The 22610-nt window shown below is 42.7% G+C and overlaps 1 pseudogene, besides 4 other annotated features; it reads right to left on the bottom strand.

Annotated features, from left to right (window-relative positions):
- Window positions 739–1240: an enhancer, noted in NCBI's record as "H3K4me1 hESC enhancer chr8:49091401-49091902 (GRCh37/hg19 assembly coordinates)". NCBI's record gives its function as "activates a minimal SCP1, AML or CMV promoter by ChIP-STARR-seq in primed H9 embryonic stem cells {active_cell/tissue: H9 hESC(primed)}" and the evidence as "EXISTENCE:reporter gene assay evidence [ECO:0000049][PMID:30033119]".
- Window positions 1241–1740: an enhancer, noted in NCBI's record as "H3K4me1 hESC enhancer chr8:49091903-49092402 (GRCh37/hg19 assembly coordinates)". NCBI's record gives its function as "activates a minimal SCP1, AML or CMV promoter by ChIP-STARR-seq in primed H9 embryonic stem cells {active_cell/tissue: H9 hESC(primed)}" and the evidence as "EXISTENCE:reporter gene assay evidence [ECO:0000049][PMID:30033119]".
- Window positions 13857–16492, bottom strand: LOC100287157 (cell division cycle associated 8 pseudogene; annotated as a pseudogene).
- Window positions 20897–21404: an enhancer, noted in NCBI's record as "H3K4me1 hESC enhancer chr8:49111559-49112066 (GRCh37/hg19 assembly coordinates)". NCBI's record gives its function as "activates a minimal SCP1, AML or CMV promoter by ChIP-STARR-seq in naive H9 embryonic stem cells {active_cell/tissue: H9 hESC(naive)}" and the evidence as "EXISTENCE:reporter gene assay evidence [ECO:0000049][PMID:30033119]".
- Window positions 21405–21911: an enhancer, noted in NCBI's record as "H3K4me1 hESC enhancer chr8:49112067-49112573 (GRCh37/hg19 assembly coordinates)". NCBI's record gives its function as "activates a minimal SCP1, AML or CMV promoter by ChIP-STARR-seq in naive H9 embryonic stem cells {active_cell/tissue: H9 hESC(naive)}" and the evidence as "EXISTENCE:reporter gene assay evidence [ECO:0000049][PMID:30033119]".

Genomic DNA, 22610 nt, shown 5'->3' on the forward strand with positions numbered 1-22610 from the left:
TCCTAGCAGGTTCCACTGAGATTACCCAAGACCTGTAATATATATGAGGAATTGAACTGAATTCTCAGTCACTTCCATGTGTGTGTATGTGTGTGTGTGTGTGTGTGTGTGATTTAATGTTTGAGTTGTTGCCATGTCCCTTTGATAGGTCATGTTTACTGAGGTTGTTAATAAAATGTCTAAATATTTGTCATGTAATAAAGCTGAACCCAAATGCAGGAAACTGAAGCGTTGTAATATAGTGGAAGTCTGGGACAGATAAACAGTCAATAAGAAAGAAAATAGCTAGAGTTCAAAATTACCAAACAGGCACTCAGGAGAAGAATAACCTTTTGAAAGAATGTGGGAGAAGCAATTTTGAAAAACACTGTGGTGCTCCTGGTCCCATCCCAAACCTTCTCATGTCTCTGCATTACCTCTGTTCAGCACAACACCTTTGGGTTATTAATCTTTCTGTTCCTTTTTTCTATACAAAGTGATCCCCTGGCACTATATGAGACTGACTTCTATGAATGTAGAATCTTTCATCTGAAAGCAAAAAATTCGTCTGAACAAGACAAGTTTGGATGAAAGGAGAGGCAGTGGGCACTTTCAACTTTCCTGCTTGTAATTTATGACATCTATAGTCTTATTTTGCAAATGCAAGTCTTGTGCTATCTCAGAAACCTCAAGGAAGAGACTATAATTAGGCTTCAACTTCTGGTTAGGACCCTCCAAAGCCTGAAAACCAGGGTGAATTCCTGAGACTACCACAGCAAAGTGTGCTGTTCTCCCAGAACTACCCTCGCCCTGTGTCCTGCCCTCCCTGTTGCTCTGCCTTTGCTCCTTCCGACAGCCTCCTTGTAGGTGGGACTGAGCTCCCCTAGCCAAGCCAGACCCCACCTTCTTCTCCTTGTGGAGGGCTGTTTTGCCACAGCTTCATTCTCATTGGTAAACATCAATTTCCATATTGATATCACAGTGCCTATTGTACAAGAGCCTAGTGAACACTTCTACTTGAATTCTTTCGCCTGCCTCTGCCTTGGACATGTCTGAGTTCTAACCTCATCGTTCCTGCAAGCTTTTAGGGCTGGAAGGTGTGAAGGATCTTCCTGTGGCTCCCCCTGGGCTCTGCGTGCAGTGGCTGGGTAGGCTCCCGGTTCAGACTCACTCCGGCATTCATCCTCCCTCGGCAAGTGTTCACCTCCAGGTGCCGCCCGTGGGAGGGGCAGTGGACCAGGTTGCCAACGGTCCTGGGACTCCCCTGGAGGACCTGCCACCCTGCAGTGCAGCTCGGGAGACACTGTCACAAGACTGCAGGCCCACACTGCACCGCACTCTGTACTTGGGAAGGGATTATTGACCCATTGTTCATTTCTTGGCCATCGAAAAATATACATTTTTTTTTTTTCAGGAAGGCCTTGGCATCTCTTATTTTGACTAAGCAGGCAAATTAACTTTTCTCTTTTATACTATACTTTTAAGTAAAGGCCTTAACCAGAGCTGGCAGTTTGGGTCTTTGCCATGTGAGACTTGAGAAATAGACACACATTTTTCAAGGATGTAATCAAGAAGACTTTAGTTACATGCACGATTAATGCTAGGAATAAAAAACTATGCAAAAAAATTAATAAATCTGCTAATTGCTTTTGGTGACATGTGTTTAATGAGATCTTTTTAGCCTTGACTTATTTTATTTACATTTGACTTACATACATTTGGGTCCTTAGCCAAAGTGAAACTGAAAAACAACTCACTGCAAAGATGGAGAGGACTAAGAAAACTATTTTTTTCTTAACTGGGCTTGAAAAAACCTTTTTCATTAAAAGAGAAGTTTTAATGTGGAATAGTTTGTGTTTTGCTTTGATCCAAAGAAACTACTAACCATTTTTTAAAAATAGAAAGTGGTTATTATGTTGTATGTTCATAATAAAGGATTCCAAGGCTACCAATGAACAGAGAATTAGCTAGGTCAAACCAGAAAAGCAGTCACATGGCTCTGCTTCCCAAGGTCCAGGAAATTTGAGGGAACCACTTATAACAGCTTTCCATTTTGTGGTCTTTCAACTCAACCTTAAGTTACAATTCACAATAACATGGAAACTAAAGTGGGGGAGAGTGAGGAGAAGGAGAAGGGGATAAATTAAGAATAACAACCACTATATTCTTGAAATTCATGCTATCAAAAACAGTTTTACTAATAGTCTGAAATATCAAGTAAGATTTGAAAAATTATTTTTTAATATTTCTCAGAATATGCTTTACTTTATAGATTTAATGATCATGGCATATCAGTTTCCTGTTGCTATTGTAACAAATTACCACAGACCTAGTGGCTTAAAGCAGCACAAGTTTGTTAGCTTGCATTTCTATGCACCAGAAGTCCAACATGGGTCTTACTTGGCTAAAATGGAGATGTAGCCCAGACTGTGTTCCTCTCTGCAGGTTTGAGGGGAAAGCCCACGGTTCTTCCAGCTTCAAGTGGTTGTCCGAATTCTTTGACTCATGGCCCCTTCCTCTACCTGAGCCTGCAGTGACAGTTCCTCCTCACATCACATCACCTAGATGGGCTCTTCTGGTCTCCTTTTCCACATTTAAGGATCTGTGATCACATTGGACCTCCTGATAATACAATATAATCTCCCTTCTTAAGGCCAGCTGATTAGCACCCTTAATTCCATCTGCCACCTCCATTCCCTATGGCCATGTGACGTCACATATTCACGGGTTCTGGGAATCAGGGTGCTGGCCATCTTTGGGGACCATTATTCTGCCTCCCTCCTGTGTTATTGCTTAGGCTTTCAATGTAGTCTGTAGTTGAGAATGGAAATGCAAAAGGTAAAAGATGTTTACCCAAAGCCTTTAGGTATTTATTCCTTTCTCAGGATTTTACGTGACATAAGTGTTTATGATGTTTTGATAGAAATATGTTATTTCATAGGTTTCTCACCTCTGAAACAGAATAGCCATTCTATCTTGTTAGGTTTACAGAATAAGGTGAACATTATTTCTCGTTCCCTTTGATTAGAGAGTTAGACGTAATCAGATGCCTTAGAGAAACTCATACCGGGACTGAAGGCTCCTCTCCAGGGGCATGAGGCAGATGAGAGCTGGACTCTAGGCAAGCCAGAAACATGCCTCAACTAACAAGTTATTTTATGGACATCAAGAAAGTCACTCTAAAGTTTATATAAAAAGGTAAAAGACCTAGGATAGTTAACACAATATTGAAAAAGAGCAGAGTCAGAGGACCGATGCTACTCCATTTCAAAATTTACTATAAAGCTATAGTAATCAAGTAGATGTGGTATGGCCAAGGAACACAGGAGAAAATTTAGATGACCTTAGGTTTGGCAATGACCTTTTAAATGCAACACTAAAACCATGATCTATGAAATAATTTCATTGATAGTCATAAGACTGTTCAGGATTTCTATTTTATCTTAAGTCAGCTTTGGCAAGTGTTTCATTTTCTACATAATAAATTACCCTCAAACTTAGTAGCTTTCAATCGTCATTTTTATTATATTTTTGATTCTGTAGATCAGAATCCTGTCAAGTCACCATGGAAATAGCTTGTTTCTGTTTCATGATGTCTGGAGCTTTCTCTTGACAGACTCCATAGCCAGAGGTTGGAGTCATCCAAAGGCATCTTTACGCACTTACCTGAGGATTGACACCGGCTGTCAGCTGAGATTTCAGCCTTGGCTTCTATAGAGCATGGTGGCTTACAGTAGACTTCTTAAAAAGTGTTTCATTACCAGCTTAAGGAGATTTTGGGCTGAGACGATGGGGTTTTCTAGATATACAATCATGTCATCTGCAAACAGGGACAATTTGACTTCCTCTTTTCCTAATTGAATACCTTTATTTCTTTCTCCTGCCTGATTGCCCTGGCCAGAACTTCCAACACTGTGTTGAATAGGAGTGGTGAGAGAGGGCATCCCTGTCTTGTGCCAGTTTTCAAAGGGAATGCTTCCAGTTTTTGCCCATTCAGTATGATATTGGCTGTGGGTTTGTCATAAATAGTTCTTATTATTTTGAGATACATCCCATCAATACCTAATTTATTGAGAGTTTTTAGCATGAAGGGCTTTTGAATTTTGTCAAAGGCCTTTTCTGCATCTATTGAGATAATCATGTGGTTTTTGTCTTTGGTTCTGTTTATATGCTGGATTACATTGATTGATTTGCATATGTTGAACCTGCTTTGCATCCCAGGGGTGAAGCCCACTTGATCATGGTGGATAAGCTTTTTGATGTGCTGCTGGATTCAGTTTGCCAGTATTTTATTGAGGATTTTTGCATCAATGTTCATTAGGGATATTGGTCTAAAATTCTCTTTTTTGGTTGTGTCTCTGCCAGGCTTTGGTATCAGGATGATGCTGGCCTCATAAAATGAGTTAGGGAGGATTCCCTTTTTTTCTATTGATTGGAATAGTTTCAGAAGGAATGGTACCAGCTCCTCCTTGTACGTGTGGTAGAATTCGGCTGTGAATCCATCTGGTCCTGGACTTTTTTTGGTTGGTAAGCTATTAATGATTGCCTCAATTTCAGAACCTGTTATCGGTCTATTCAGAGATTCAACTTCTTCCTGGTTTAGTCTTGGGAGGGTGTATGTGTGGAGGAATTTATCCATTTCTTCTAGATTTCTAGTTTATTTGTGTAGAAGTGTTTATAGTATACTCTGATGGTAGTTTGTATTTCTGTGGGATCGGTGGTGATATCCCCTTTGTCATTTTTTATTGCATCTATTTGATTCTTCTCTCTTCTTTATTAGTCTTGCTAGCTGTCTATCAATTTTGGATTCTTTGATTTTTTGAAGGGTTTTTTATGTCTCTATCTCCTTCAATTCTGCTCTGATCTTAGTTATTTCTTGCCTTCTGCTAGCTTTTGAATGTGTTTGCTCTTGCTTCTCTAGTTCTTTTAATTGTGCTGTTAGGGTGTCAATTTTAGATCTTTCCTGCTTTCTCTTGTGGGCATTTAGTGCTATAAATTTCCCTCTACACATTGCTTTGAATGTGTCCCAGAGATTCTGGTATGTTGTGTCTTTGTTCTCATTGGTTTCAAAGAACATCTTTATTTCTGCCTTCATTTCATTATGTACCCAGTAGTCATTCAGAAGCAGGTTGAGGATACAAAATCAATGTGCAAAAATCACAAGCATTCTTATACACCAATAACAGACAGAGAGCCAAATCATGAGTGAACTCCCATTCACAATTGCTTCAAATATCTAGGAATCCAACTTACAAGGGATGTGAAGGACCTCTTCAAGGAGAACTACAAACCACTGCTCAACTAAATAAAAGAGGACACAAACAAATGGAAGAACATTCCATGCTCATGCATAGGAAAAATCAATATGGTGAAAATGGCCATACTGCTCAAGGTAATTTATAGATTCAATACCATCCCCAACAAGCTACCAATGACTTTCTTCACAGAATTGGAAAAAACTACTTTAAAGTTCATATGGAACCAAAAAAGAACCCGCATTGCCAAGTCAATCCTAAGCCAAAAGAACAATACTGGAAGCACCACGCTACCTGACCTCAAACTATACTACAAGGCTACAGTAACCAAAACAACATGGTACTGGTACCAAAACAGAGATATAGACCAATGGAACAGAACAGAGCCCTCAGAAATAATACCACACATCTACAACTATCTGATCTTTGACCAACCTGAGAAAAACAAGAAATGGGGAAAGGATTCCCTATTTAACAAATGGTTCTGGGAAAACTGGCTAGCCACATGTAGAAAGCTGAAACTGGATCCCTTCCTTATACATTATACAAAAATTAATTCAAGATGGATTAAAGACTTAAATATTAGACCTAAAACCATAAAAACCCTAGAAGAAAACCTAGGCAATACCATTCATTCAGGACATAGTCATGGGCAAGGACTTCATGTCTAAAACACCAAAAGCAATGGCAACAAAAGCCAAAATTGACAAATGGGATCTAATTAAACTAAAGAACTTCTGCACAGCAAAAGAAACTACCATCAGAGTGAAGAGGCAACCTACAGAATGGGACAAAATTTTTGCAATCTACTCACTGACAAAGGGCTAATATCCAGAATCTACAAAGAACTCAAATAAATTTACAAGAAAAAAATAAACAACCCCATCAAAAAGTGGGCAAAGGATATGAACAGACGCTTCTCAAAAGAAGACATTTATGTAGCCAGCAGACACATGAAAAAATGCTCATCATCACTGGCCATCAGAGAAATGCAAATCAAAACCACAATGAGATATCATCTCACACCAGTCAAAATAGTGATCATTAAAAAGTCAGGAAACAACAGGTGCTGGAGAGGATGTAGAGAAATAGGAACACTTTTACACTGTTGTTGGGACTGTAAACTAGTTCAACCCTTGTGGAAGACAGTTGTGGTGATTCCTCAAGGATCTAGAACTAGAAATACCATTTGACCCAGCCATCCCATTATTGGGTATATACCCAGAGGATTATAAATCATGCTGCTATAAAGACACATGCACACGTATGTTTATTGCGGCACTACTCACAACAGCAAAGACTTGGAACCAACCCAAATGTTCAACAATGATAGACTGTATTAAGAAAATGTAGCACATATACACCATGGAATACTATGCAGCCATAAAAAATGATGAGTTCATGTCCTTTGTAGAGACGTGGATGAAGCTGGAAACCATCATTCTCAGCAAACTATTGCAAGGACAAAAAACCAAACACCGCATGTTCTCACTCATAGGTGGGAATTGAACAATGAGAACACTTGGACACAGGAAGGGGAACATCACACACTGGGACCTGTTGTGGGGTTGGGGGAGAGCAGAGGGATAGCATTAGGAGATATACCTAATGTAAATGATGAGTTAATGGGTGCATCACACCAACATGGCACATGTATACATATGTAACAAACCTGCACGTTGTGCACGTGTACCCTAGAACTTAAAGTATAATTATATATATACATATATATGTAGTTCAGGTTTCCAAAAGCAAGTGTCCCAGTGGACAAAATAGAAACTTCACTGCCTTCTATGATTTATCTTTGGAAGTTGCACAACATCAGTTCCCAGGAATTATATGATTACATGCAGTAATTAAAATCGGCTGAAATTTATGGGGAAACATAACACTAGGTTATATTCTTCCAGAAATTTCTCCATTTTATTATTTTAAAATTTATTGGTATAGTTATTGTTAGAATTATGTTTATCTTAATTTGTTCACCAGCAGTAGAAAAAAATTACGTTTATGTTTTAAATATTTGCTCAAACTGTAATTATCTGCATTTATGTTATATATTTGTGTCTTTTTTCTTAAAGTCAATATATTTGTAATTTTTTTAAACAAACTTATGGATTTGTTGATTCTCTCTATTTTAACTTTGTTTTTTATTTTGTTGCTTTCTGCTCCTTTCTTTTAACTCCTTTGGGTTCATTCTGTTTTTCCTATTTTTTAAAAAATTAAAAATTATTTTCTAGTGGCAGGGTTTTGCTCTGTCACCCAGGCTGGAGTGCAGTGATATGATCATAGCTCACTGTAACTTCAAACTCCTGGGCTCAGTAATTCTCTTGCCTCAGCCTCCTGAGTAGCTAGGACTGTAGGCACATGTCACCACACCTGGCTAATTTAAAAATTTTGCTGTATAGATAGGATTTCAGATCACTTCTTGGCCTTTTGGCTGAGCTCAAGTGAGATGGGATTTCACTGCATTGTCCAGGCTGGTCTCAAATTCCTGGGCTCAAGTGATCCTCCTGCCTTGGCCTCCCAAAGTGTTGGGAGTACAGGTGTTAGCCACCATTCCCAGTCCTGTTTTTCCTATTTTTTCTCACTTTTGGCTTTATACATAATTCTTGGTCAACTATTATTTTCTTTTAACATGTTGTAGTTATTCCACTTATCTTCTGGTCTCCATTATTGTTGAAAAGTTTGCCTTTGTTTATTTCAGCTGCCCTTCCAAGTGATATAGCCCTTCTTGCTCTGTATATTCATGATGTTCTCAATTTTGGTGCTCTCTAGTTTCACTGTGAGTGATCTCTTTATCAAGTTTTCTCAGGATATGTAGTGATTGTTGGGTCCATGGATTCATAGTTAATATAATTTCTGGAAAATCTGCAGCCAGACATTGTATCTTCAAAATTCTCTCAATTTCCTCTTTTGGATGTCACTTAGTAGGTATTATATCTTCTCACCTTCTATATGTCTTCAGCTCTTCATATTTTTCATTTTTTTCTCTCTTTGCTATATTCTAAATTCTTTGAATATGCCTTCCAGTTCACTAATTCTCTTGTCAACTGTATCTAATCTCTGTAAAATTTAGCCCAATTATTTGAGATTTTGAATCCAATAATTATACATTTTATTCTTGGAGGTTAGTATTTAAAAATTCTGTCTGTTCATTATTAATTGTTTATTTTTATATACTCATTTTTGTAATTTCATCCTTCATTTCCTTAAACATTTCATATAAAGTTCTTTAGTATGTTGTATCTCTTGCTGAATAGCTAAACTTCTGGTGTGTTTGGCAACACACCAAACACACCAGTGGGTTGCCAGGGAAGCAACACGCCTGACCTGGGGGAAGCTTTCTTCCCAGGAGAATTTATTCTTCTATGAATAGCTTGGGGGCATCCCTACTTAGGGTCTACTTCAGCCTTTCCTGAAGGTTTTGTGTTAGAATGGATATCTCAAACTTGGCTTCCTCCTCAATGATCTTCTGTAGGTCAACATTCCTACAACTGTCTAGCCATATAACCAAGGACTCAGGGTAGCCAACCTCCACTGTGGGTCCATGTTGCTTAATTCCCACATTGACTCTACCCTCTGGCTTTCTGCTGTTCTGCCCATGCTTCCTGGTGTTCTTGCCCTGACAATTCTACCTGCCAAATCCTTAACTCTTGCCTACTCCAGCCCTACCCTTTCCACTCTCCCCCACAACAAGCTCTAGCTCTTATTTGTTGTTTGTTGTTGTTTTTTGGAGTTGTCCCTAAAGAACTCTCCTACATTTTGGAAGAGTAGAAACACCTCAAAGAGTGTCATATCTGTTTCTGTGGACTAGTTGTGGCTAGGAAGTTTCCCCAGCATGCCTAGCTACTCATGAGACCAGAAATGGAGGCCTACTCTGTTTTCATTCTTGGGTTTTAAATTTTTCTGAATAGAATTTCCACTTACCAATAAAACTTAAAGGATGGAATTGAGCACATCCTCTTTATCAAAATCAAAAGGAAGGAACTTAGAGATTTCTCATGTTGCATAGAATTTATCTTTCATGGAAACTCCAATAGATGGGCCTTGGCTTCCTGTAATGCTGGTTGAAAAGAATTCTAAGGCCATGTCCAGACTTAGTGGAAATAGACCATGATTAACGAGCATTGTCCTCTAAAGGTATAGGAAGGTGGAATGACAGCACATGAACTTCATAGCTCATCCTTGAATATCATTTAGTTCAAACTTTGGATTTCACAGATGAGAGAAATGAATTCAGCTTAATTAATTGACCTGCCCAAGGCCACATAGTGAAAGTGGCTACTAAGATGACTAAGATGAAGTCTTCAAAACTCAGTCCAGCACATGTTCCTCTATGCTAGACCTCACACAAGAGTTCTCCTTCCCATTTCCCTATTATTGTCAGTGATACTGTTGATTATCCAGGAATTCCTGGTCAAAACCTAGAAATTGTGCTATTCATTCCAGTCTTTCATCCTTCAACAGGTGAATCTGTTGCTTTAGTCTTTGAAATAAATCACAACTTTCCTTTCCTTTCCTATCTCTTTGCATCACTGTAGTCAGGGACATCAACTCAACCTAAGTTTCTGTGAATGTTGTTGCTCTCACTGTCTCTGGACTCGTTCTAACCATTGTGAAACATAGAAGGTGGCCAGGCTCGGTGGCTCATGCCTATAATCCCGGCACTTTGGGAGGCCGAGGTGGACAGATCACCTGAAACCCCATCTCTACTAAAGATACAAAAATTAGCCGGGTGTGGTGGCAGGTGCCTGTAATCCCAGCTACTCAGGAGGCTGAGGCAGGAGAAGTGCTTGAATCTGGGGGGCAGAGGTTGCAGTGAGCCGAGAGGGCATCACTGCACTCCAGCCTGGGCAAGAGTGAGACTCTGCCTCAAAAAGAAAAGAAAAAAAAAGAAAAACATGGAAAGTTTTATATTGTTGTTAAATTTTTAGCTGTATGTTTCACATTTTTCCACAAGAGAAGCCCATTTAAGCTGTAAGCCTTGTAATTTTCTGATTCCATCACCCAGAGCCTTGGCCTTTGCACTCAGAACTTTTCTTTCCTGGCTCCTAATCTCTGGCATTTTGCCAACAGGGCTGGGAGGTGGCCAGGCCAGTGCCCTGGAGGCATAAAAAAGTGGCAGGCAGGGTTAGTGGCAATGGAAATAGAATGACCTGTGCTGTTGGGTTAATTGTAGATGATGATAATAGAATGAGCTACTCCTTTAAAGAAGGAATTTAGGTCCTAGAACTAAATTTATAGCCCCCTTTTTTTTATGGACTTGTGAGCAGATTTTCCCATTTCCCAGTTCAAGTGACCTATGCACACATTTTGAGTAGCAACAGGAAATGTGAGAGTCCAGTTATTTTACTCCCACTCTTTTCCTTGTCTTTCTGGGGGAAAATGCTTCCATACGCATAGTAATATACATATTTTAAACAAGAAAGAAGATAACAAGGTCAATAATGTAGGAATGAGTGGCGCAGTAGTCTTAAAAACAACCAAGAAGTCACATAGTTATCTGCAAAGAAAAAATAAAAAAGATCAACATGTAGTTAAACTCTTTGGAAACATTGCTTTAAATGAGACCTAAGTGGGCTTAGGAATCAGACATGAAATACTGCGGGAAGAATGTGAAGAGATCAGGGATTGGCATTTTTGATTACAAGAAATAAAGGTACATTACCAGATTTCTCCTGCCATACATGGTTTGAAAGCACATTTTAGATACAGCAAGACCAGTTTCCAATGACTAAATCTACTTAGGTCTAAGGCATGGTGAAATCTTCTCAACTGCAACCCTAGGGGGATGTCCCAGGAATGCATTGCTTTTCTTTCCCTTTGGAGTCCCAGCACCATGTCTTGGCACAGGAAACCCCTGGCCCTCTGGACTGGCTCCTGACCATGCAATGCTGTGCATCTCTGTGGCTCTGTCCCTTCCCCCATTTCCCCTTAACCTATGGAGCTTGGTGTCTGTGTTCTGTGGCCAAGTGTGGCTCAACTCTTCCCCAGGGTGTGGACTATTCCTGATTTAATAGTGGGTCCTTAGAGCAGCTCAGCTTGGCTTGTTTGTCCTGCCTGAAATGACGCTCAGCACACAGTGGGCTCTACTGCAGGGTGCTGGGGTGCTCTGTGGCTCTAAGCGATACTTCACACCACCATAAACACCATCCTCCCATGTAAAGTTCAGTTGGAGTCTTTGGTTGCCAGGCAATGCTATTTAATGAGGGTAAAGAGTGCTTGAACACATCTACAACTTGGCAGCCCTTCTACTTCTTATAAGCTACCATATGCATTGGAGACAAAAGTCTTCCATAGGCTACTTTTTAATGGGACAAGTTTACTTAAGAGCTGAGAGGAGATGGTGCCAGTAGTCTTGTTTTGTTCCTGTCCAATATTAGCCTTGTCAAAAGTCTTATAGAGTTTCCTGGGTATTTCTTTATTACATTCCATGTAAAGCTCTCTTGGGGAGCCAAGAATTTTGGCTGTAGTATATATAGAGGGCTCATAATATGGGCGTGTGTGCAAGTGTGTTTGTTTTTGAGTTTTAGAGGTAGCCCTATAAAAAGGCAATGCAATAATGATGAAGTTCTTGCTATTTCCTTCTTACTGTTGATGAAATTCATCAACCTCCTTGCTGATGGAAGTGCAGTCTCTTGCTAAAGTCTGGATGTCCTGTTAGATTTGCATTAATAGAACAACGAAACACATGTTACACTCAATACTATTTTAATTAAAATTAATACATGCCTTTTAGTTAGAGTGGGTAATATACGTTTGAACTGGGTTAAAAATTATTTTTCTCATGGTACATTTTGGAAGGAACTATGTCTTTTAAATGAATGCCTATCAGCTGGCCATCTCTTCCACGAATTCCTGAAAGGTGCTGGGAGGTTATGCAGGGGTCTAACTTTTTGAGCACTCTTTATAAAAGGCTACATAGGTTTGCTTCTCTCTGGCTGAGGACCCGCACTGGCTCTCTGGAAGCATGATGAATGCAGTGATTCCTCCTAGTTTGGGCCCTGGGACCTACCACTTCACCCAGGTCTTCAACTGGTCTTGGTTTGTTTTCCGTTTATCATCTGTATGACTGGATCTGAGTGTATATGCTAATGACATGATCTGTAGTATTGTTCAGGTCTGTTGAGATACTAGGTGACGTTTCAACATGGAAACATGTCTGAGACAGACCACATGTGAGTGAAAGGAAAGTCCAAGAGCCACTCTCAGAAGCAGGGGCTCAGAAGCTCAAGGAGGCTTGCCTGGGTCTGAAGATGTCTGCAAGGAGCAAGTGCTGAATATCTGGATCGGAGAAGAACTACGCTCTTCCAGGGTAGTGGGTCAAAACTAGTTTTAGCCCTATTTCCTTTTCATTCATTCATTCAGCCAATATTTATTGGCTGTGTACTTGAGTACTCTGTGCCAGGCATGCTATTTCTTTGGGTACTGGGCCGTGAATATGAATGGAACGAAATCTTCTCTTTCCCTAAAGACACTGCCTATTGATGGGGAAGGCAGAGGCATGCAAACAGTTTTAGTCCTTCAATCATGCAATACATATTTGCTGTTGCCTGTTATATACCAAGCACTGTTCTAGGTGTGTTGAGGGTACAGCAGAGAACAAAATAGGCAATTCTTATTCTTGCCTTTATGAAACTTATTTTCTAGTCAATAATGACAATTTGATGCCACCAGACCCTGCCAGGCTGCCTGCTTCTGTCAGGAAAGGTTTCACAGAGGAGGAAGCAGCTCAACTATAATGCAGGTGATTAGTAGGTCTACTTTCTGTCTCTGTGGAATTGCCTATGAATGGGCATTTCATATAGATAGAATCATATACTATGACATCTTTTGTGGCTGGCTTCTTTAATGGAGCACGGTGTGTTTGAGGGTCATCCACAGTGTGGTATGCATCAGTACTTCATTTTTAAAAATCACCTGGCCAGGCACAATGGCTTGTGCCTGTGACCCCAACACTTTGGGAGCCGGAGGTGGGCGGATCACTTGAGGCCAGGAGTTCAAGACCAGCCTGGCCAACATGGTGAAACCCTGTCTCCACTGAAAACACACAAAAATTAGCTGGGCATAGTGGCACACACCTGTAATCCCAGCTACTTGGGAGGCTGAGGCAGGAGGATCATTTGAATCTGGGAGGCAGAGGTGGCAATGAGCCGAGATCGTGCAGTGCCACTGTACTCCAGCCTAGGTGGCAGAATGAGACTGTCTCAAAAAAAAAAAAAATCACTGAATAATATTGTATTTTTTTTTCGAGACAGAGTCTTGCTGTGTCGCTCAGGTTGGAGTGATGTGGTATGATCTCGGCTCACTGCAACCTCTGCCTCCCACGTTCAAGCAATTCTCCTGCCTCAGCCTCCTGAGTAGCTGGGACTACAGCCACGCACCACCATGCCTGACTAATATTTGTATTTTTAGTAGAGACGGGGTTTCACCACGTTGGCCAGGCTGATTTTGAACTCCTGGCCTCAAGTGATCCGCCGACCTTGGCCTCCCAAAGTGCTGGGATTACAGACGTGAGCCACTGCGCCCAGCCTCCCAAGCCTTTTTTATAAGAGCACTAATTCTATTCATGAGGACTTCACTCTCATGACTTAATCACCTCTTTTTAAAAAATTTATCAAAAAACAAAACCAAATAGGAGTTTACTGAAAGCACGTACATTTTGGTAGCTCTGATTAGAAGAAATTAACTTAGAAATACCATTACTCAGGAAAACAATATGTACAAAATCTCAGGAAAGGGAGAATAAGGCAACTTGCAAAGAATTCAACTTGAACAGGCCTGAATTACTACAAATGTCATGCGGCAAAATCATACAAAACACAACAGAGAGGCATTCATGAGAAAACTGTGTGCTTCAGGCCTGGGAGTGAGCACTCTAGTTTCCAGTTTCTTGGAGAACAGCCCATGATTCTCTGGGGCAGAGAGGCTGGCTGGAGCATGATGGTCTCACTGCCAACTGCGCGGAACTAACCCACGCCCTGTGTACAGGCTAAACATGTGGAAGGAGGCCACCAGATGAGTCACCCCCATGAATCCTGGAAGAGAGGAGTGCTCTCTGCAGAGTGTACAGACCTAGCAGGGACCGCTGGACCACGATGGCATAGAGATGATTACTCTGTGCCTGTCACTGAAAACCCTAGACTAATCTAAGCCCTACAATTCCCTTATCCAAATTACCACTAACTAGAAAGGTAGAAGAGAAGGTAGAAGCTGCCTCCAAACCAATTTTTGGTCTTTGGTAAATAGGGCGAACACAAAACACTGTTCCACAGGCAGTTAGAAAAGAACTGCTGGGTACAGCAGGGGGAAGATCTCAAGTTCTATTTAATGCTCTTCCTAGCAGGAGAGGGAAGATAAGGAGGAAGAGGAGGAGGAGGAGAGGAAGGAGGAGGTGGAGGAGGAGAGGAAGGAGGAGGAGGAGAGGAGGAGAGGAAGGAAGAGGAGGAGAGGAGGAGAGGAAGGAGGAGGAGGAGAGGAGGAGAAGAAGGAGGAGGAGAGGAGGAGGAGGAGAAGGAGGATGAGGAGAGGGAGGAGGAGGAGAAGGAGGATGAGGAGAGGGAGGAGGAGGAGGTGAGGAAAGGGGAGGAGGAGGAGAAGGAGGATGAGGAGAGGGAGGAGGAGGAGGAGGTGAGGAAAGGGGAGGAGGAGGAGGTGAGGAAAGGGGAGGAGGAGAGGAGGAGAGGAAAGAGGAGGAGGAGAGGAGGAGAAGTAGGAGGAGAGGAGGAGAAGAAGGAGGAGGAGAGGGAGGAGGAGGAGAGGGAGGAGGAGGAGAGTGAGGAGGAGGAGAGGGAGGAGGAGGAGAGGGAGGAGGAGGAGGACAGGGAGGAGAAGGAGGAGGAGGAAAAGGAGGAGGAAGAGAGGAAGGAGGAGGAGGAAGAGAAGAAGGAGGAGGAGGAGGAGGAGCAGGAGCTGGGATTGGAGGGCAGACGCCTGTTTTGCTACTGTAGACACTGGACTTGTCTTGCTCTGCTGCCTGGGCCTATGTGTCCATTGCCCCCCACTTTCTGGATGTGCCCTTTCAGAGCCCAGAACTCTCACTTCTCTGAGCCTAACCTCCCAGCCTCAGGCATACACAGAGTAGAAATGCCGGATGCTGGGGGTCCTCTGAGGAGGGTGAACGGCAGTTTTCCTGAGAACATGGCATTCTTCCACATCACCCCCATTGCAGGTAGGGTTGGGCAAACAAGAGACTGAGTTACAGGAGGCAGAAGGCAGCTGCCCTGAGAGCAAGATAATTCAGCTGGAAGGGTGACAGGAAGCTTCAGTGCATGGAGGCAGCAGGGAGTGGCCAGGGTCACCTGGACAGGGAGGCATGGACAGCACAACTGTATCTAAGTGATACAGGGACAGTGTATCTCCCCCTCCTGAATTCCCCAGAGGAACATTGCTTCTAATTCTGGAACTTCACACTCAAACCATCAAGGAGCCTGAAGTGAAGAGGTCTCTTCTGGTCCCAGATAGCCCACTGAAGGCCCATCTGTGAAGGCTGGCTTCTCGTAGGTGGGTCTGTAGGCTGCTGCAGATTTGGGCAAGACCACTGGAGAGCTTCTTTGTGCTTTCCAAGACCCTGGATCTAGTTTTGCAGTGTGGCCCCTGGCAAGTCACTGGCCCATAACAGCAGCCTTGCTCTGATGGGCCTCAGCCAGGGAGAGCTCTCTGCTGCTGGAGAGAGGGCTGCCATGCACTGAGATCGCAGGAATCCATGCTGTGGCTGCTGGTGCACAGGCCAGGGGGCTTGAAGAACCGTCAAGCCAAGCCTGGGTGTCAGGCCCAGTGTTGACTTCACCATAGGCAGCTCCAGCCAGCCTCCACTGGGGCCACAGTGCCACAACGGCTTTGACATCTTGCCTTTCCTTTTCCTAGTATAAACTGGGTTCTCTTCTTCCATGGAGGATCCCTTTCGACTCTTGCAGTTTGAAGATTCTTCTGTATATTTTCTCTTCTTCCACCGTGGTTTCATCCACTTGTATTGCTTTCTGTGCTGTGGCAGGTTTCAGGGCTGTCTGCAAAGCTCTGGCTGTGAGTGTGTGTATTTCTGTGCCATCCAGGTCAGCTGCCACCACCTCTTGGTCCAGGCACTGTTTGTTTCTTCCAAGGACAAAGTAGTTGAGCCAGGGCATCTCCTGCAGCACTGTGGGGAGCTGAGGACGCCATGGTTGTGCAGGTTCTCGCTCTCTGTGAAGAGTTCTTCCTGTCTCACTGAGTTAGCTTAAATTGTGCCGTCCTCCATGGCTGAAGTCATTAAGAAAGGACTTGAAGGAGTTGACTACAGTCTCAAAATGTATTCCTCCTATATCCTTTGACCAGCACCAAAGGATACAAAAATAATTATTCTTTACTCAGTGCTGTCACATTCGCTGTTAATTCTGGTGGACACCTTCACACCATAGTGATGTGTTACAAGGGCTATCATATTCTTTCCATTGCAGACCTCTGATAGTCTCAGTGTGGCCCAGAGCATTGCATAGGGAAGGCTCTCCCAGAGAGCCTTTATTTAATGGCTGACAGGATGATGCTGTTATAGTGATGAAAATGGTATTTTTGAAGAGAGGCCAGCAATTGTAACAGAAATAATAATCTGTTTCTAGTAAAAAGTTCATATTAAAACCACTTGTTCCACATTACAGAAATTTTTCTGGGACTAGGAATCAGTAGCAGGGGCAGAACCCTCATGCAAGCCCAGCTCTCTGGAGGGTAAAGTTGTTTAGGGCACAGGGTTTTTGCCTTATGGATTCTTTGTTTGTTTATTTATTTATTTATTTATTTATTTATTTATTTATTTTTAGAGACAGATCTCACTATGCCACTCAGGTTGGAGTGCAGTGGCCCAATCATAAATAGCTCACTGCAGCCTCAACCTCCTGGGCTCAAGGGATCCTCCTGCTTTGGCCTCCCAAAGTGCTGGGATTACAGGCATGAGCCACCACACCAAATTCATTCATTTGTTTGAATTTCCATGGATTTCCTAATAAATAAATATGAGTGGAGAGAGTAAGATTAGAATACAGTAGTGCCCCCTCATCCACAGTTATGTTTTCTGAGTTATCAGTTACCTGCAGCCAACTGTGGTCCAAAAATATTAAATGGAAAATTCCAGAAATAAACAATTTATAGGTAGTGTGATGAATAAACAATTTATGGGTAGTGTGATGAACTCTTGCATCATCCCCATTCTGTCTACCCTGGAACGTGGCTGCTCCATTTGTCCTGCGAATCCACGCTATATACCTTGGTCACTTAATAGCCACTTGGTTGTCAGATCAACTATCATGGTATCACAGTGATTGTGTTCAAGCCACCCTTATTTATTTATTTATTTATTTATTTTTATTTTTTTTTTGAGACAGGATGTTGCTCTGTTGCTCAGGCTGGAGTGCAGTGGTGCGATCTTGGCTCACTGCATCCTCTGCCTCCCGGGCTCAAGCTATTCTCGTGCCTCAGCCTCCTGAGTAGCTGGGACTACAGGTGTGTGCCACCACGCCTGGCTAATTTTCGTACTTTTAGTAGAGACGAGGTTTCACCAGGTTGGCCAGGCTGGTCTTGAACTCCTGGCCTCAAGTGATCTACCCACCTCGGCCTCCCAAAGTGCTGGGATTATAGGTGCCACCCTTATTTTACTTAGTAACAGCCCCAAAGTGCAATAGTGTTGATGCTGGCAATTCAGATATGCCAAAAGAAAAAAAAAGCTGCCAAATGCTTCCTTTAAGTGGAAAGGTGAAAGTTCTCCACTTAATAAGAAAAGAAAAAAAAATTGAATGCTGAGATTGCTAAGATCTATGGTAAGAACTGTGAAAGGAAAATATCTTGGGCCCCCAAAATCACTAAGCTAAAGGGAAAATTCAAGCTGGGAACTGCTTAGTGTAAACCTGCCTTCCATTCTATTCAGTCATCCTCCTGCTCACTGAGATAGATGCATATCTGATTGCCTCCTTTGGAAAGAGTAATCAGAAACTCAAAAGAATGCAACCATTTGTCTCTCACCTACCTGTGACCTGGAAGCCCCCTCCCAGCTTTGAGTTGCTTCCAGTTGTCCCACCTTTCTGGACCAAACTGGTGTTCATTTTACATATATCGATTGATGTCTCATGTCTCCCTAAAATGTATAAAACCAAGCTGTGCTCTGACCACCTTAAGCACATGTCCTCAGGACCTCCTGAGGCTGTGTCACAAGCGTGCGTCCTCAACCTTGGCAAAATAAACTTTCTAAATTAACTGAGACCTGTCTCAAATGTTCACGGTTCACAGAACTAATCTTCTATCTGTGAAATTGTGAAGAAGGAAAAATACTGTGTTAGATTTAGTGTTGCACCTCAAACTTTATCATATGTATGTATGTATATATATATGTATATATAAGAAAAAAGAACCAGGCACAGTGGCTCATGCCTGTAATCCCAGCACTTTGGGAGGCCGTGGTGGGAGGACCACTTGAGCTCAGGAGGTAAAGACCAGCCTGGACAACATGGCGAGACCCCATCGATACAAAAATTATAAAAATAAGCTGGGCATGGTGGCACGCACTTGTAGTCCCAGCTACTCGGTAGGCTGAGGTGGGAGGATTGCTTGAGCCTGGGAGTTTAATGCTGCAGTGGGCTTTGATTAAAAAAAAAAGAAGAAGAAAAGAAAAGAAAGAAAAAACATAAGAGGCATGGGACTTTGGATTTGGTACTATCTCCCGTCTCAGGCATCTACTGGGGGTCTTCGAACGTATCTCCTGCACATAAGGAAAAAGACTGTTTATGTTATTATGGTTGATAGTTTTCTAGAAATCCTAATGATTGACAACCCTTTTAACTGCAATTGACAACCATAAAACCCTAAAAAATGCAACTGGACATTTTGAAAAGGCCTACCGTATGGTCTGCAAATTTTTCAGTTGTTCAGAGATGAAGGGCAATTAAAGATTACTTGTTAATCAATCAATGACACTTAATGATTGCTTTCTCTGTATAAAGATGTTGAGTTAGAGGCATTTTGGGATTCAGAGGTGAGTAACATACAGTCTCTGCCCTCAAAGAGTTCATAGTCTCTAGAGACAAATACATAAATATTGCAATACAGTGCAGACTACGATTATACCTAAGAGGATAGAGAAAGCATTTCTGAGATTTATAAGAGGGAAAAATACAATCTGGTAAGGGAATCAAGAAAGCTTTATGGAAGAGTTTTTACTTGAGATGAACATTGAAGACTGGGTGGAGAGCCGCTGGAAGAGGTGGTGAGGGAGGACATTGCCCAGGCAAATGTGCAAAGCAGAGAGAGCAAGGCCTGTGCAGAGCCGTGGGCTGTGCTGGGACATGGGAAGGGAAGCAGCGTAGATGGCCGCGGGAGGGGACAGACATGTCACGTGCATAAATATTGAAACCCTGGCACAGGGACCCCTTCTGACATCAGCAGCAGGTGATTGCAACACAATGAGACAAGCTGAAAACCTAAGTAAGTAAGCTGCGGCTCCTTAGTCAAATCCACTGGCTCTTGGAATCCATGTACAACACCCCCGGAGTCTCTTACAATTCCGTTAGAGATACGGTTGAGTGAGGGAATTCCCACAGAGCAGCTGAGGCTGCAGCCAGAGAACTCAGTTTTGTCACTTTTGCCGGGACTGTCCTATTGCATGGGAATGCAAAAGTAGTTGTACACCTGGGTATGTTTGAGGGCTGTGTGTGTGAAATTACTTGAAGATGGCTAGAGACTATAATCTGCTAGCAATTACCTTGAAAGTTTAGCAGGATGTTAGGAGTTTTCTAGGAAGTTGCAGTTCTCAGCGGTAGGGTTTTGGATCTTTTAGAAAACTGTTTGAAGGACGATGTTGTGAGGGACCTTGAAAATGTCTCGTGACAAAGAACCTTGACCAGCCCTTTGTAGGGAATAAAACCAAGGTCAACTAATAGAATGGGCAAGAGACAGCCACACTCCCGAGGAAGGCATCCCAAACCCGGGCCTCCCTGGCCTGGGGTTGAACACCTGTGTGTGCAGTGTAGAAAGCAGGGGCCTTTAAAGTGTGCCCAGGGCGACGAGCTAAGCCAGTATATCAAGACTGTCAATTCATCATCAGTCTCCCTCCTCCATCTCAGAGAGACTTCTCTCACTTGTCATAGAAAATGAACTCACCTAGGGGCAGAAGAATACAAGGCAGAGAGGAGACTGTGTGGGAGCAGAGCACCAAAGGGGAGCACGCCCACCCAGCTCTGCCCCAGGGCACCTTCTCCACTTGCTGCCCTCAGATTCCCTGCCTTGGAGGCCAAGGAGTTGGGTTGAGAAATTCTAGAATCCTGTGATTACCCCTGTGTGGGATTTCAGGCAAACAGAAGAGTCTCTGAGCTGGGCAGCAAGCAGGGGGGTCCCAGCAGTGACCTTCCTCAGGGGTCCTTGCTCTGCAGATGAGAAGGAGGGCAGCCCTGTGTGGGGCTTGGGGGGTCTTGATCCTCAGTGCGCTTCTCTGATTCCCAGACTTCTCTCTGCTTTCCAGTACCAGAACATATAAGGGAAAAACTTTTCTTCACTAATCCTCATCCTTTAATCCCTTTAAGAAATGCCTTGTATATTTATGTTTACCTCAAAACTAGGCCAGTTTTCTTTTCCTTTCTTTTTAATTAAGGCAGCACCAAAAGACAGAAGGCATTTGAAATTCCTGTGGGCTGAGAGGGCATGCAGTAGGTGTTCAAAATTTGGAATATTGGGTGATCAAACCTGGAGCATTTACTGTAAATGGCACATAAATATGCAACTTTAAAATAGAGTTCAAACTGAGGGCTGAGAGTGTCAAGGATTCCAGGTAAAGTAATAATTCCTCTTCAGTTGCATAGCACGGGAATTTTCACAGCCAGCTTCGAGAAATTATCTCAACCCCGCATTCACCCTGCAAAGAGAATAATTCCCACTTAGCAATGCAGTGATTAAAAATATAATATACGAAAAAGTCATAAAAGGTAGACCCAAGTCAATGGCTAAAGTGCATACTTCTTTAAGAAAACAGACTAGGAAACTTTAAACAAAATGCTGGACAATCTCTGTAACGTTTAACCAATTGGTTTGGCGCCAATTCTGTTTTTATTAGACAGAAATCCAGTCGCTGAAAACATGGCGTGGGGCTGTGACTGGCTGCCTGCCAGCGAATGTCTGGGGGCCCGGTCAGCCTCGGCTGCAGCGAAGGGCCGCCAGGGTTGTCGCAGTCATAGCTTTGCTCCCTGGGAAATGCACCTCCTGCAGCTCCCTCGTGTTCCCGCTGACTTGGGAGCAGCCACGCAGGCAGGCGGGAGTGGGGACATCCATTTACAAGAAACAGCTCAAGTTAAGTTTTGCTTATGTTTGCAAACGAAGCCAGGTTGGGGTCACTCATGAGAACTGATTGACTTTGTTCAGGGATTGTTCAGGCCTGGACTCCATTTTAATTTACTTTAGCCCTGTGTCTTCATCCTTTTCAAGTCTTTATTATTCAGAATGCCTTTAAAAACCCCCCAAACCTGCCAGATTCTGTCATCTGTAACTTTATATGCCATTTTAATGGAATTTTTATTCTTGTGAAAAATTTGCTTTATCCCACATTGTACATCATAATCCTTCCTCCTCAAGTCCCTAGCACTGTCCCCTCCTCTCCTCCCTCCTCCCTCTCTCCCTTCTTTCTGGTTACATAGTTTTGCATATAAATTTGACATCCTTTTAACCTTAAGATTTGAGCTACTTCCCTATGAAAACGCTCCATGAGTGGTTTCTATGGTTGCTTAGCTTCAAAGATATCATTTCAAAATCACTCTGAGTTCTGAAGTCAGAGATTATTACTAAAGAAGCAACTTCCCGAATTCACTGGGAGCACTAATCCTCCAATGTTAGACAAAATTATTTCCCATAGAATTACAATCCCCTAATAATTTGCAGTTACCCATGTTTCTTAGACCCTAGGCGGAATGAACACACATGAGCAGAAAAGGCCCAGCAGGGAATGTTCATGGGGATTCATCTCTGTAGGAATCAGATAACTGAGAAAGCCATGCTGTGTGTATTATCGGGCTTGCCTATTGATCGTTTTAGAGCACTTTCAGCTCAGTTAGGTCTTATTCACAAAGAGTCGATTCCTAGGTGACATTTTGTCCTGAACAGAACATTCCAAGGTCAGTCTAGGTCATCTAGAGCACTGGCTTCCCAAACAGTTCAGACTAATAGGCATGCGCATGGCACAAAGAGGGGCTGCCTGTTCTGTGATTAATGATACGGGTGTTTGCTCACCCTCCAGATGCTGTGGGCTCTTAAAAATCGTGAGCTGCATGGGCACAGGGGGGTCCTGTGCTTGCCTTCAGCTCTGGGCTTGCCCTTGTCTTGTAGCAGCCATTGAAGCCAGAGTTCTCGCGGTGGGAATGTTTGCCTACCCGCTAC

The sequence above is a fragment of the Homo sapiens genome, chromosome 8, assembly GCF_000001405.40.
Source record: "Homo sapiens chromosome 8, GRCh38.p14 Primary Assembly".
Taxonomy (NCBI): Eukaryota; Metazoa; Chordata; class Mammalia; order Primates; family Hominidae; genus Homo; species Homo sapiens.